General features: G+C 35.2%; 1 protein-coding gene and 1 long non-coding RNA gene across 2 annotated transcripts in view; one reads left to right on the top strand and one right to left on the bottom strand.

Moving 5' to 3' along the window:
- The window catches only part of DDX10 (DEAD-box helicase 10), a 275,859-nt gene that overhangs the window by 211,614 nt on the left and 51,165 nt on the right, over positions 1-13,080 (bottom strand). Inside the window, exons 12-13 of the mRNA NM_004398.4 lie at positions 9,429-9,517; positions 5,852-6,317 (exon numbers count right to left, since the gene is read on the bottom strand). Of these exons, the coding sequence (NP_004389.2) occupies positions 5,852-6,317; positions 9,429-9,517 (555 nt within the window). The remainder of the gene's footprint in view (positions 1-5,851; positions 6,318-9,428; positions 9,518-13,080) is intronic.
- Positions 1-13,080, top strand: part of LOC124902750 (uncharacterized) — an 80,188-nt gene that overhangs the window by 50,381 nt on the left and 16,727 nt on the right. The gene's annotated exons all lie outside the window — the stretch shown is intronic.

Here is a 13,080-nt window from a genome sequence, read left to right as displayed (position 1 = left end):
ATCTGAATATGGTCTGGAGGAATTTGTGACCCTCCTTCAATAAGAGCGGCATAAGGAGGTATTACGTAGTGTCACTGGGGCCCTCTTAGAACCCTGTCGATAACCCAAAGAGACCTAGGTCATCTTATGCCCTAATATGTGTAAGCTCGGTAATCATTTGGGGGTAAAATTTTTGAAACAATTACTATAAAGTAAGTGTTTACATGAGATAAGGAGAAGATTCCTATCTTGCATTTTCGAACTGTAGAATCAGTTCCATGTTATGCTGGTGAGAGTAGTGAAAGTGAAGGAGAGAAGAAACCTGCCAATTAGTAGAACTCTTTAAACGGAGATTCAAAAAAAGGATATTAACCTAAGTATCCAACAGCAGGAGAATGGTTAAATAAAGGTTAATGGCATATTAGGCAACCATAAAAATATTTGCGAAGACACTTTAATGACATGGGGAAATATATATACCTAGGAGCATCTCACTTATTTAAAAATGGGTATATGAGCAGGGCACAGCGGCTTACTGCCTGTCAGCTCAGCACTTTGGTAGGCCAAGGTGAGAGGATCACTTGAGGCCAAGAGTTTGAGACCATCCTGGGGAACACAGAAAGAACCCACCTCTACAAAAAAATTTTTAAAAATTACCCAGGCATGGTAGCATACACCTGAAGTCCTAGCTACTCAGGAGGCTAGGGCAGAAGAATCGCTTGGGCCTGGGAGTTTGGGGGTACAGTGAGCCACAATCATGCCACTGCCTTCTAGCCTGTGTGACAGAGCGAGACCCTATTTCTAAAAAAAAAAAAAAAAAAAAAAAAAAAGAACAAATGTGTATGTATACTTAAAAAAACAAAGACAGTTGTTATCTCTAGGTGGTGAAATTACAGGTTATTTTTATTTTTATTTGTGATTTTCTGTGTTTTACTAGAGATTTTCCACCAAAAATAAGCATTTTATAATCTGGGTAAAAGGGTATTTTACAGGAAATTTTTCTCAAAACCACTCTTGCAGAGTCCCCCGCCCTGCCCCTCAAGAACAGAGCACTCAACCTTGGAAGAACATCATCTCTGGTGCCCTGGATGTGAGAAACACTAAGTCTGAGCAGGACTGAGAGGAAAGGAACCTAAGTTAGGAAAAGGGCTTGTTGTTGTTGTTTTCTTAGAATGAGCATTTAAATTTTTACAGCAATTTGCCAAAGTAATTTCATGTCTGTTGAATTTAAAAATAATTTTCAAATGGGCTTGTATACTGTGTGTGCTTTCTGGGTTTTTTTTTTCTTTTTTCATTTTTCTAGGACTTTTTTCCCCCAACTTAATAAAATTTGCATTTACTAAAATGTACCCATAAGGATCATGTTTTCACTCATCTTTAACCATGCCCTTGTCACAGCATAAAATGAAAATGTAGTTGTTCAAATAGGAACGCTAAAGTTGAAGGATGAAATAGTTGATGATCTCTTCACATGTATTTTCTATGTGTCCTTTCTAGGAATGACTAAAAAGACTTAGTCATTCCTAAGTGAATGTGAATCTATACTTGAAAGTATAAAACGGTCCAAACAAGAAAACTTAGACACTGACGTTAGGTAAGGACATTGTACCTTAGTAGTTAACATTTTAAAAAAAACAGAATGTGAATTTTTACTGTTTTGATTGTGGGTGTAATGGATTTTTTTAAATTAGCTATTAATTGATTTCTAAAATAGAAAATAAAATCAAGAACCCTACTGTTTAAAGTGAGAATACAATTCTGAATTTATTCATATGGCAATAAAATTCTGAGTATTTTTACTTGAGTAAACAAAAGACAACATTTCAAGGAATTTGGAATAAAGTAGAGAAGGCAGGGAAATGAACAACTGTGTGTGACAAGGGACACAAAGCAAAGTTAAAAGCCAGAGACAATAACTTTACTGTTTGAGGACATCTTACGAATCAACAGGAAAGAGACTAATATCATAACAGGGAAAAATATGTGTAAGCAATATATACACAAATTAAGAAAGAAATCATAACTTTCTAAATAACTGTTAATATTGATATAAATTATTAATATTCATATTGGAATCAAAAAGAGATTCAAACAATACAGACGCTAGTAGGGCAACGATCAACATGACCTCTATGCTGGCAAAACATATAAAAAGCTTTCAAAATGTGTCATATTCCCAGTCAAGTCATCGCAAAAAAAGAAAACTGCAAACCAATATCCCTCACAACAACAGAAAGATCCTTAACGAAAATATTAGCAAATAGAATCCTATAATATAAATATAAAGAAATCTTGCTTAAATGGAGTTTTTCAAAGGAATTTAAATTTGATTCAACATGTAGCAGGGGGAAATCAATACACCATAATCAACAGGCTAAAAACCACCACGTCATCACCTTAATGTTTACAGAAAAAGCATCTGACACAAGTCACAATTCATTTTATCATAAAAACACTAAGCCAGCTAGGAATAGATGGAAGCTTCTCAAACTCATAGGCATTTACAAAAAAAACTTACAGCTAACATCAGATGTAATGGTAAAAGACTGAATGCTTCCCCCTCAGTAAGATCAGGAACAACACAGCAATATCTACTCTCACCACTTCTATTCCACAGATCCTACTCGGTAAAATCAAGCAAAAGAAAAAGAAAGAAAAAAGAAATATATGGTCCACAGATGAAAAAGGAAGAAATGAAACCATCCTCATTCACAAACCTCATAATCAGTTACAAAAGAAAATCCCAAGAAACTCCCAAAAAGCCACAAGAACTAACAGGTCAGTTTAGAATGATCAGTCTACAAAAAACAAACTATTTCTATATACTGGCAACAAATAATTGGAAATTGAAATTTTAAAAATACCATTTATGATAGCATTAAAAAATATCAAATAGTAAGAGATGACTCTAACAAAATATGTGCACATTACATGTGCTTAAAGTTATAAAGCAATGCTAAAAAGACACTAAAGAAGGCCTAAATAAAAAGGTATTGTTATGATGTCAATTCTCTCCAGTTAGATTTACAGATTCAATGCAACCTCAATGAAGTCATCGGCAAGCTTTTTATACGAAGTAACTAGCTGATTCAAAACCTTACATGAAAATGCCATGGTCCAAAAATAACCAAAGCAATTTTAAGAAAATATATATCAGTTGACAGACTCAAAGATCTGATTTAAGACTTAGTATAAAGCTACACTAATCAAGATTGGTGTTATTGGTGAAAGGACAGACGTATCTTTGAAAGTCAACTGACTTTCAAAGAGTCAAGGTAATTCAATGGAAAAAGCATAGTTTTTTCCAAACAAATGGTACTGGATCAACTGGATACCCATATGCAAAAAAAAGTGTACCTTGACCCTTACTTAGCATTATATACAAAAATTAAGGTGAAGAGGATCCTAGCCCAAATTGTAAGTGCTAAAACTATAAAACCTCTGGACGAGAACATAGGAGAAAATCTGTGACTTTGGGTCAATCACAGATTTATCAGATACGACACATATATAAATTACCTAAAATGTGATTGAAATCAGACTTCAAAATTTAAGATACCTGCTCTTTGCCAGACACTCAAAATAAAAACAAGCCATAGATTGGGAGAAAGTATTAGCAAAATATATCTGATTAAGGATATGTATTCAGAATATACAAAGAACTCGTAGAACTTACTAAGGCAACACAATTTCAAAAGAGAGACAAAAGACTTGAAGACATTTCACCAAAGAAGATATATGAATGGCAAATAAGCACATGTAGAGATGTTCAGTCATTAGGGAAATGCAAATTAAAACTGCAGTAGGGTATCACTACATGCCTACTAGAATGGCTAAAATTAAAAGACTGACAATACCATGTGCTGACACGATGGGATGCAACTCGAACTCTATACACTGCTGGCAAGAACACAAATTGGAAGAGCTGATTTGGAAAACAACTGGGGAGTTTCTCAAAGTTAAATATACCCTTAACATATGTTCCCAGTAACCCTATTCCTAGAAAATAACCCCACTCGTTTCCCCAAGAAATGAGAAAATTATCTACATAAAAATGTATATGTTTATAATGACTTTTGTCATAATCACCAAAAAATGGAAACAACCAATGCCAATTTAAAGCTTAAGAAAACCTACATCCATCCAATGAAATACTTACTCAGCAATTAAAAGGAACAAACTACTGATGCATGCAATAACGTTAAGCTAAATGAAAGAAGCTAGACACAAAAGACTAAATACTGTATTATCCTATTTATATATCATTCTGAAAAATGCAACACTACAGGGGTAGAAATCAGATCAGTGGTTGCCAGAGGTTGAGTGAAGGGTAAAGCAATTGCAAAGGGAATAAGAAATGTTTTGGGGTGATGACGCTGTTCTATTCTTAATTGTGGTAATTACACAACACCATACATTTGCCAAAACTCAAACTGTATATATTAAAGAGTTAGATTGATTTAGATAACTGACATAGAGTAAAACTTTTTTAAAAGCTTAAAAAGTTGTTTTGCTATATACATTTTTCAAATGCCAGATGAGCTATTAGTACTTAGACACATGTCCTACTTACGTGAACAATTCATGGTATTATAAAACTATATCATTCCTTCTCATCTTAATTTGAAGCTTTGGTTATGTTCATGATTCTTAGAAAGTGATATACATAATAGTTAATACAGTGGCTAAATTATTTAAAACGAAAATCTAACTTCTTGTATTTACTTTGCTGATAAAATGAGTCTTAACTACAGACTTAAAATGATCTAATTTGAAGCAGGATGAGACAGTACAGGATTATTGGACAAGAGCATAAATATTAAAGTCAGAACACCTATGTTCAAATTCCAGCTTTGCCATTTACTACCTGTGTGCCTCACTACAGTACTATATTGCTTCTGTGCCACAGTTATTTTTTTTCCGTCACCTGTATAATGAGATAGTAGTAACGACCTTTATTTCAAGCACTAAATGAGATAATGTTCAGAAAATGACTAACACATAACACATATTAAGTGTTCAATAAGCACATTTTCTAGGTTTTTTTTTTAATTTTTAGTTACTTAAAGAAACACTCTTCTAAGTTTCACAGTCAAAATCTATTATGTATTTCCTACTGTGAATCTTGAAATTTTATTCAACATTGTATAAAGAGTAAGAATCAAGCTTCATTTTTTATTCAATTCCCTTTTAAAAAGATGATCAAGAATAAAGGCATATGAAGTAGGAAGGGGAATAAGGGAGAAGGGGAAACACATTTACTGTGCACCTACAAAAGCATCCTAGAAAACAAGTGCTTTATCTAAATGGATTATTTCTTTTGTTCCTCCTAGAAGATGGCTACGGAGAAACAAAGGATTTACAGGAAAACTTTTCATAAACATTCATAAGTAGCCTTTAAAAAAGAACTGTTCAATTTCTATTTAAGACACTGGCTTGGTTCCCATAAACAAATGTCGCACTAAGAGTAAAACTTATATTTAAATAATTACAACTGTTCCTTATAATTTAATCAATCAGAAAGCAGTATCTTAAGAATTTTAACGAAGGATCCTCATGCCATAAACCAAAAAACTTCATTGCCTTCCTTTGAGACTTAATCAGGACTTTGGCAACTTTTAAAACACAGCATCAGAAAACCAGTAAATAAGATTAAAGTTGTTAACCTCTTAGAGCTCCCAAAGTTATGAAAAATATGAAAATTCATTGGCACTTATTCTGTGTTTAAGTATGGGGGAAAGGAGGAAGAGTTCATTGCAAAGAAACCCAGTCTAAGTTTCTTAGTTTTCACTTTCTCTCAGTCCCCAAAAGGCAACAATAAGCACATAGTAAGACAATGTAATAGAAGACCCTCCACTGGGAGTAAACTTACCTGTAATGTTTTCTCGTCTTTAAGGTCCAATCCAAACACATTATGCCGCTTCACCTTCAAGAAATCAGCATCTTCTTCCTCCTCATCTCTGTCCAAGAACTGTGTAGGAACTTCCTTGATCTTCTGTGCCTCACTGGTGTTAGGAAGAGATGGGGCTTGAGATCCTTTTGCTTTTGCCAGTTTCTCTTCCATTTCTTCTTCATCGTCTTCTTCTTCTTCCTGTTCTTCATTACCAGTATCATTATCCTGTCTGTGCTCTGTCCCTTCGAGTCTTTTTCCACCTTTTTGAAGGATGGACATTTTCTCATTGAAGTAGGCTCTAAATTCTTCCACTTCGTCATTGGTGAGGGAGGGAGCCCTTGGCTCAATTACTTTATCGGCTTGGCTCCTTACCAATTCTTTGGTGGGTTGTTTCTGCATTTTCTGAAGAAATCTTACGCGTGGTGCCACAGCAAGACCAAGAGACCTTAAATATGGAAAAACGTGAAAACAGTCATCTCAACACTGATGATATGTTTATAGGTGTCATAGAAGAGTTTCTCAAGAGCAGAGATTCCTAGAGCTTTTTTAAAGAAAATGTTCCTGTGAGATACAACTCAATACTAACAGGTTAGTTGATCCAAAAAGTAAGGCAAAATACACTCAACACCTGTCAGAAAACATTTTAGACACTATTTTTTCTTTAAGAGGGTAACATGGAATAAGATAAAGAGCACTGGACCAGAAACAAGATAACAGTTCAAGTACTAGACCTGCCAATTTCCAATTCAACCCTCTCAGCTTCAGCTTCCTTATAACATGGGGATAACAGTACCTGCCAGGCCTAACTCACAGTTGCTGTAAGGATCCAATTAACTAACTACATGAGAGTACCTCATAAAATGTTAAGTACTAAATAAACCAGAGAAGACATGACCATGAAAGGACAAAACAGTTCTCTACAGAGAAAGAACTGGAATGTGGTCCCCATCTCCCTTCCTAAAAGAGAATATGGCACAATCATTGCTATAAAAATGGATTTTATAAACCAAACACCAAAAAAAGAAATTAAAAAATATTGTTTTCTCCATCAATGATCAATATTCAATTTATTATCATGTCTTTCCCAGCTTGGATCAAAGCTAATAGCTTCATTAAGTTCTCAATGATCGAAGGGAAATAAAATCTTAGATTTTATCAAGGATTGCTCTGAATAAACAGTAACATCATAACATGGACCCACTGCTCTTTTCCTATCTGACATGGTTCAAAGAAACTGAGAGATGTAATGCTGAGAAGCATGGATTCAGAAATAAGACTGCTGGGGTTCAAAATCTGGCTGCCACTTACTAGCTGTGAGATCTTACGAATATGATTTAATCTTTCCATACCGGAGCTTTCCCATTTGCAAAACGGGATGCTAAGAGTACCTACCTCACAGGGTTGTTGTAAGAATAAATTAGTTGACAGATGTAATGCTGTTAAAACTAGTGCCTGGCATATAGGGAACTAATGAGAACTTGATGTCATCACCATCACCACTGTTAGGGTTAGGATCACAAACTCATCCAGAGAATTTCACTCAATGTATTGCACTTACATTTTTATGTCTCTCTCAGCTACCAAAACTGAGTTTATTGAAGGCAGCAGTACATCTTATACATCTACAATTTAACATCTAGTACAATGACCTGCACATATTAGGTATTCAAAACATGTTTCTTTAGTAAAATTTTAAAACCTTTAATATATCTTACATACACAGCACTGCTTTAGGTATCAAAGGCTTCTAAAGGAAATTACATACCTCAAGGAAACAACATAGCTAAATATCTAAAAAAATTAAAATACCAAACTCAACTATACTAAAATTTGTTCTCAACGTTAATTTTCTGCCTTCTCTAAGCATCACAAAAAGCAAAAGTCATCAACTACCAATAGATAAAATTTACTGGAATCTATTGCAACAAATGGTCCCCTAAATATGGCCTACAGTGTTAAAGACCTGTGCCTTTCCTATCTGCTAATATCAAGGTAGGTCAAATCAGAAAACCATGATAAAAATTAACAGGGAGCCAAAAGTCCACTAATAACCTAAGCCATGGATCATATTCAGAAATAATAAAACTAGGAACTGGTATTTAAACATATGAGCAAACAACAACATGTTATCCATGGCATGTGGCTTTCCATCTGTCACTTAAATGGAAAGTCAGCAGCCCTACACTGCTATAAAGCAATTTAAAAGGTTCAAAAATGTAATAACTGACATATTACCTGTTATGGTAAACATACAATCTAACAGAGAATAGAAAACGACAGCTCACTTAGATATATGTTGTAGTTAGACTCAGTTTAAAGGTAAAGGCACTCAAATTCCTAAGAGCAAGCCAAACATACAGACCTTGCCTTGTAATCACATATTTCACCATAGTCTGGGAAATTTCATGCTGATATTCAAAGTATGATTATCTCAAAGGTGCTTCTATAAGATTGTGCCAATGTTTTTACCACTCCCACAGTAAGAGCCCACTGAAGAATAAACATTCCTTCTTTATAGGTCAAAAGGTTTAAAAAAAAAAAAAAAACCCGGCCAGGCACAGTGGCTCACACCTGTAATGCCAGCACTTTGGAAGGCTGAGGTGGGGGGATCACTTGAGCCCAGGAGTTTGAAACCAGCCTGGGCAACATGGCGAAACCCTATCTCTACAAAAATTACAAAAAAACTAGCCAGCCATGGTAGCATGCACCTGTAGTCCCAGCTACTCAGGAGGCTGAGATGAGAGGATCACCTAAGCCTGGGAGGTCAAGGATGCAGTGAGCCATGATCACACCACTGCACTATGGCCTGGGTGACAGAATAAGACCCTGTCTCCTCCCCCGCAAAAAATCCCTCAAATACTAAGCCAAAACAAAACCAGCCATTCTGTTTCATACAATAGTAACCTCAGTTACTAAAAAGGAGCATCTTGCCATAGTAACTATGAGTACCTGTAAGAAACACCAAGACAGGAGGAATATTCAGGCAGTAAGCAATTGAAGAAAACAACCTAACATAAGAAGAATCAGCAAAGAGGCTCACATTCAAAGCATAAAATGTCTATGGTAATCCAGGCAAGGGTTTCAGAGAACGAGAAAACTATAGACACTTAAAGATTTCAAAGAATGCTTATTGGTTGCTCTCTGTCTCCTTTAAGATCAAACTATAGGAAATGGCCAATGTCACTTTAAGGAATTTATACTTACAAATAATAAACTGCTCCCTGATTAACAAGAACTGAACACTGAACTAATTTTCTGCCAAGTCAATTTCATCTTTTCCACTGAGAATCTTTAACAAACAGATTCTTTTAACGTAAGGCAGAGTGGCTTAAACTAAGAATCTCAGAGAACCAGGTTTCAAACAAATTCTCTCTGGCCGGGTGTGGTGGCTTACGCCTGTAGTCCTAACACTTCAGGAAGTTGAGGTGGGTGGACTGCTGGAGCACAGGGGTTTGAGACAGCCTGGGCAACATAGCAAGACCCCATCTCTAAATTAATTAATTAATTCCCTCTAACCTTGAGGATTCACTATTACAACTATATTATGAATACTTACAGGGCATATTCAGGTATAGGTAACTTGCTCACATCAAATACTTCTTTATCCTTCATCAGATATACAGATCGTACATAGGAGACGAAACACTGTAAATTAAGAGGTTGAAAAGTACAATATAATAGAAATTAAAAATGAGTTTAGACCAAAATATAAGAAAATTAGCCAATGGGATAAATTCAATAGTACTGAAAAACCACGAAATAGTTCAGTATATCTCCATTCCATGCACACATGAAAACCTACCTTTTAGAACTGTAATATTAGAAAAAAACTTTGCATTTGGTTTCAAGCCAACCTAACCCAGAATATCTTCTTTCCAAAAGGCTACTCTAAAAGTCAGTATAATTCCATTACAATAAGGTACACCATGGGGAAAATATAGGCTTTGGAATAATATAGATTTGGAATCTATTCAAAGCTTAAACTCTTACTCACTGAGCAAATTTCTTGTTTCTCTACATGTCAGTATCCTCATCTATCAAAAAAGGGATACATTACCTTCTACTTAGAGTGTTATGAGAATAAAATTAGAAGAATGCATGTAGATACCTAGCATATTTTCTGGAATATAGTAACAACAAATGCTAGTTATTGATAATATTTTGTATTATTGTATCAAAAGATAAGGTTTTCAATTAAATAAAATTTTACATATTGAGATTTAATAAAACCATTTCAGGAAAAACTTTATTGCTAAAGCTTTTCTTTTTTATGATTTCAAGTAATTCATCATTAACTTGGAATATTTTGTTTCTGTTAAAAAAAAAAAAAAAAAAAACTATCTTCATACTAGAGTTACACAAACCAGAATATAAACAGGGTCCTGATCCTTTATCAGTTTGTCAAATACACAGATAACAAAACTCATCTAGGTAATTTTTTAAGTTGACTTTTGTAAAGTATATTTAGTTCCTGTTTGCATACTTCCTAAACTTCATGTTTTATCTAGCTTTACACTAATCCTTTCTACCCAACTAATCTCCAAACCATTTTCTGTCTCCATAGGCATAAAAAACAATGAATGGCACCAGTTTAAAAATAATTTTTTCCCCTACAATCATCCACAAGCAATCACCTCAGTTGCTTATCACTTTTGTTCTATCCAGATTATAATCAAAACCTAGAAAATCACTTCTATGAAACTAGATAGCTTGCTGCTGCTGGCAACACAGTTGGCCATTCTGCTAAACCATGCGTGACAACCAATAAATCACATCATTTATTTCAACACACTTTTCTATAATCAGTGTTCTGGAAGGCTCATCCGTTGTATGCACAAACCAGTGAAAAAACATCTTTCCAATGTTTCATATTTTCTGATAGATAACTGAATGACCTCTTAGGCATGCAGTAAGTCATGACATACCAAAATTAATCTAATATTTTTAAATGTGTGTACTACTTCCAAAGCTCCTAGGTTTCAACTGCAAGTTTGAAGGATGTTTGCTAGAAAAAAAATGTACATGTTTGCATGCCTATTCATTTTTAAGAAAAATGAATATTAACCATTTGTTCAAAGATCCTTTAATGAAAAGGTTCTCAGGTAAAGTGAGCTTATAGAAGTCCAACTTGGTATAGCTTACCATTTGATGCTCTCATATTTTGGAATTAATTTCTCCTGATATAACACAGTAGATCTCAAGAAAGCTAGACCTGGAGTTCAGTCTCAGGTCTTCCACTTAATAACTATGTTACTCTAGACAATTTTTTTTTTTTTTTGAGACAGAGCCTCGCTCTGTAGGCCAGCTGCAGTGCAATGGCACAATCTTGGCTCACTATAACCTCTGCTTCCAGGGTTCAAGGAATTCTCATGCCTCAGCCACCCAAGTAGCTGGCATTACAGGCATGCACCACCACACCCAGCTAATTTTTTTGTCATTGTTTTTAGTAGAGACAGGGTTTCACCCTGTTGGCCTGGTTGGTCTCAAACTCCCAGCCTCAAGTGATCCACCCACCTCAGCCTCCCAAAGTGCTGGGATTATAGGCATGAGCCACCCCAACCAGCCATCCAAGACATTTTTTAATTTTCAAGCTAGCATTTACCCATTTGTACAGTCAAATCAATACCACCTACCTCACTGGTTGTCTGGAAGATTAGGTAACAACGCATGTAAAACAGTTTTGTCATAACTAAGTACCTGGCACACAGTAAGCACTTAAATTTTAGCCTCATCATTAATGTTATTCTAAGCACACCAATGATAATTTGCTAAAATATAAAATAAGTTAGCAAAAAATTTAAGATCTCTTCTTTATATAAAACTTACTTCTGGCTGGGCGTGGTGGTTCACGCTTGTAATACCAGCACTTTGGGAGGCCAAGGCAAGCGGATCACTTGAGGCCAGGAGTTTTGAGACCAGCCTGGCCAACATGGTGAAACCCTATCTCTACTAAAAATACAAAAAATTGGCCGGGTGTGGTGGCGCATGCCTGTAATCCCAGCTACTCGGGAGGCTGAAGCAGGAGAATCACCTGAACCCGGGAGGCGGAGGTTGCGATGAGCCAAGATCACGCCATTGCACTCCAGCCTGGATAATAAAAGCGAAACTGCGTATCAAAAACAAACAAACAAAAAAACTTACTTCTTTGCCAGGAATAACAGTTTCAAAACCATTACATAAAACCCTAACTATTGAATGTTTTTCTGCTCAGGCTACCCTATCGACTTAGGGTGACCTTTCTATAACTCTTCTTTATATTCTTCCTCCCACCTCATCTATCTGCTGAAATAGAATCCAACCTCTGAATCCCTACTCTCTGGCTCATTGCTGATATGCTATGGGAGATGCAAAGATCTTGTAAATGCAATAAATGGCAATAAAGGACAGGTGAAAATGATAAGAACTCAAATATCTGTTAATTCAAAGATTAGAAAGATTGGAAAGCATAATGAAAAATAATTTCACATCTTTTACCGAAGAATCTACTGTGGAATATTCTAAAAACTTTAAAAAAAAAAAAGTTTAACTAAAATAGATTTCTCACCACAAGTATGTGAGGTAATACCTATGCTAGTTAGCTTCATTTAGCAATTACACAATGTATATTTGTTTCAAAACATGTTACATACCAGAAATATAATTTATCAATTAAGAAAAATAAAACTAAATATTGACTTCTTTATGTATTTGCTAATCAAGATCTTTAAGTCCAGAAAAGTAATTGGGGAACAACAAGTCATAAACGTAAGTTAAAATCTCATTCCTAAAGATAATTTGGCTGCAGTTCTATGCTTTCTAGAAATTTAATCTAATGTAGGAAGATATTAATCTCACAGTCAAGAAAGTACAATCAGGAGTTATAGCAATTTTACAAAAGAAATAAAAACTTAATAATGTTATCAAGTATTAGAAATCAGGCCACTGTGCATCCAAAAAATCACATTTGAGAGGATTTTCCATATGTCTTTGAAAAAACTTACGATGATTTTTCCCAATCCATATATATAAAAAATATTTTTCAAAATTTTAAAGAATAAGCTAGACTGGCCAGGCGTAGTGGCTCACGCCTGTAATCCCAGAACTTTTGGAGGCCAAGGCAGTTCACCTGAGCTCAGGAGTTCAAGACCACTCTGGGCAACATGGAGAAAACCCTGTCTCTACTACAATACAAAAAAATTAGCCAGGTGTGGTAGTGGCGCACACCTGTA

The sequence above is a fragment of the Homo sapiens genome, chromosome 11 (genome assembly GCF_000001405.40).
Source record: "Homo sapiens chromosome 11, GRCh38.p14 Primary Assembly".
In the NCBI taxonomy this organism is placed as follows: Eukaryota; Metazoa; Chordata; class Mammalia; order Primates; family Hominidae; genus Homo; species Homo sapiens.
The sequence above is the reverse complement of the archived record's forward strand: the minus strand, read 5'-3'. Positions and strand labels throughout refer to the sequence as shown.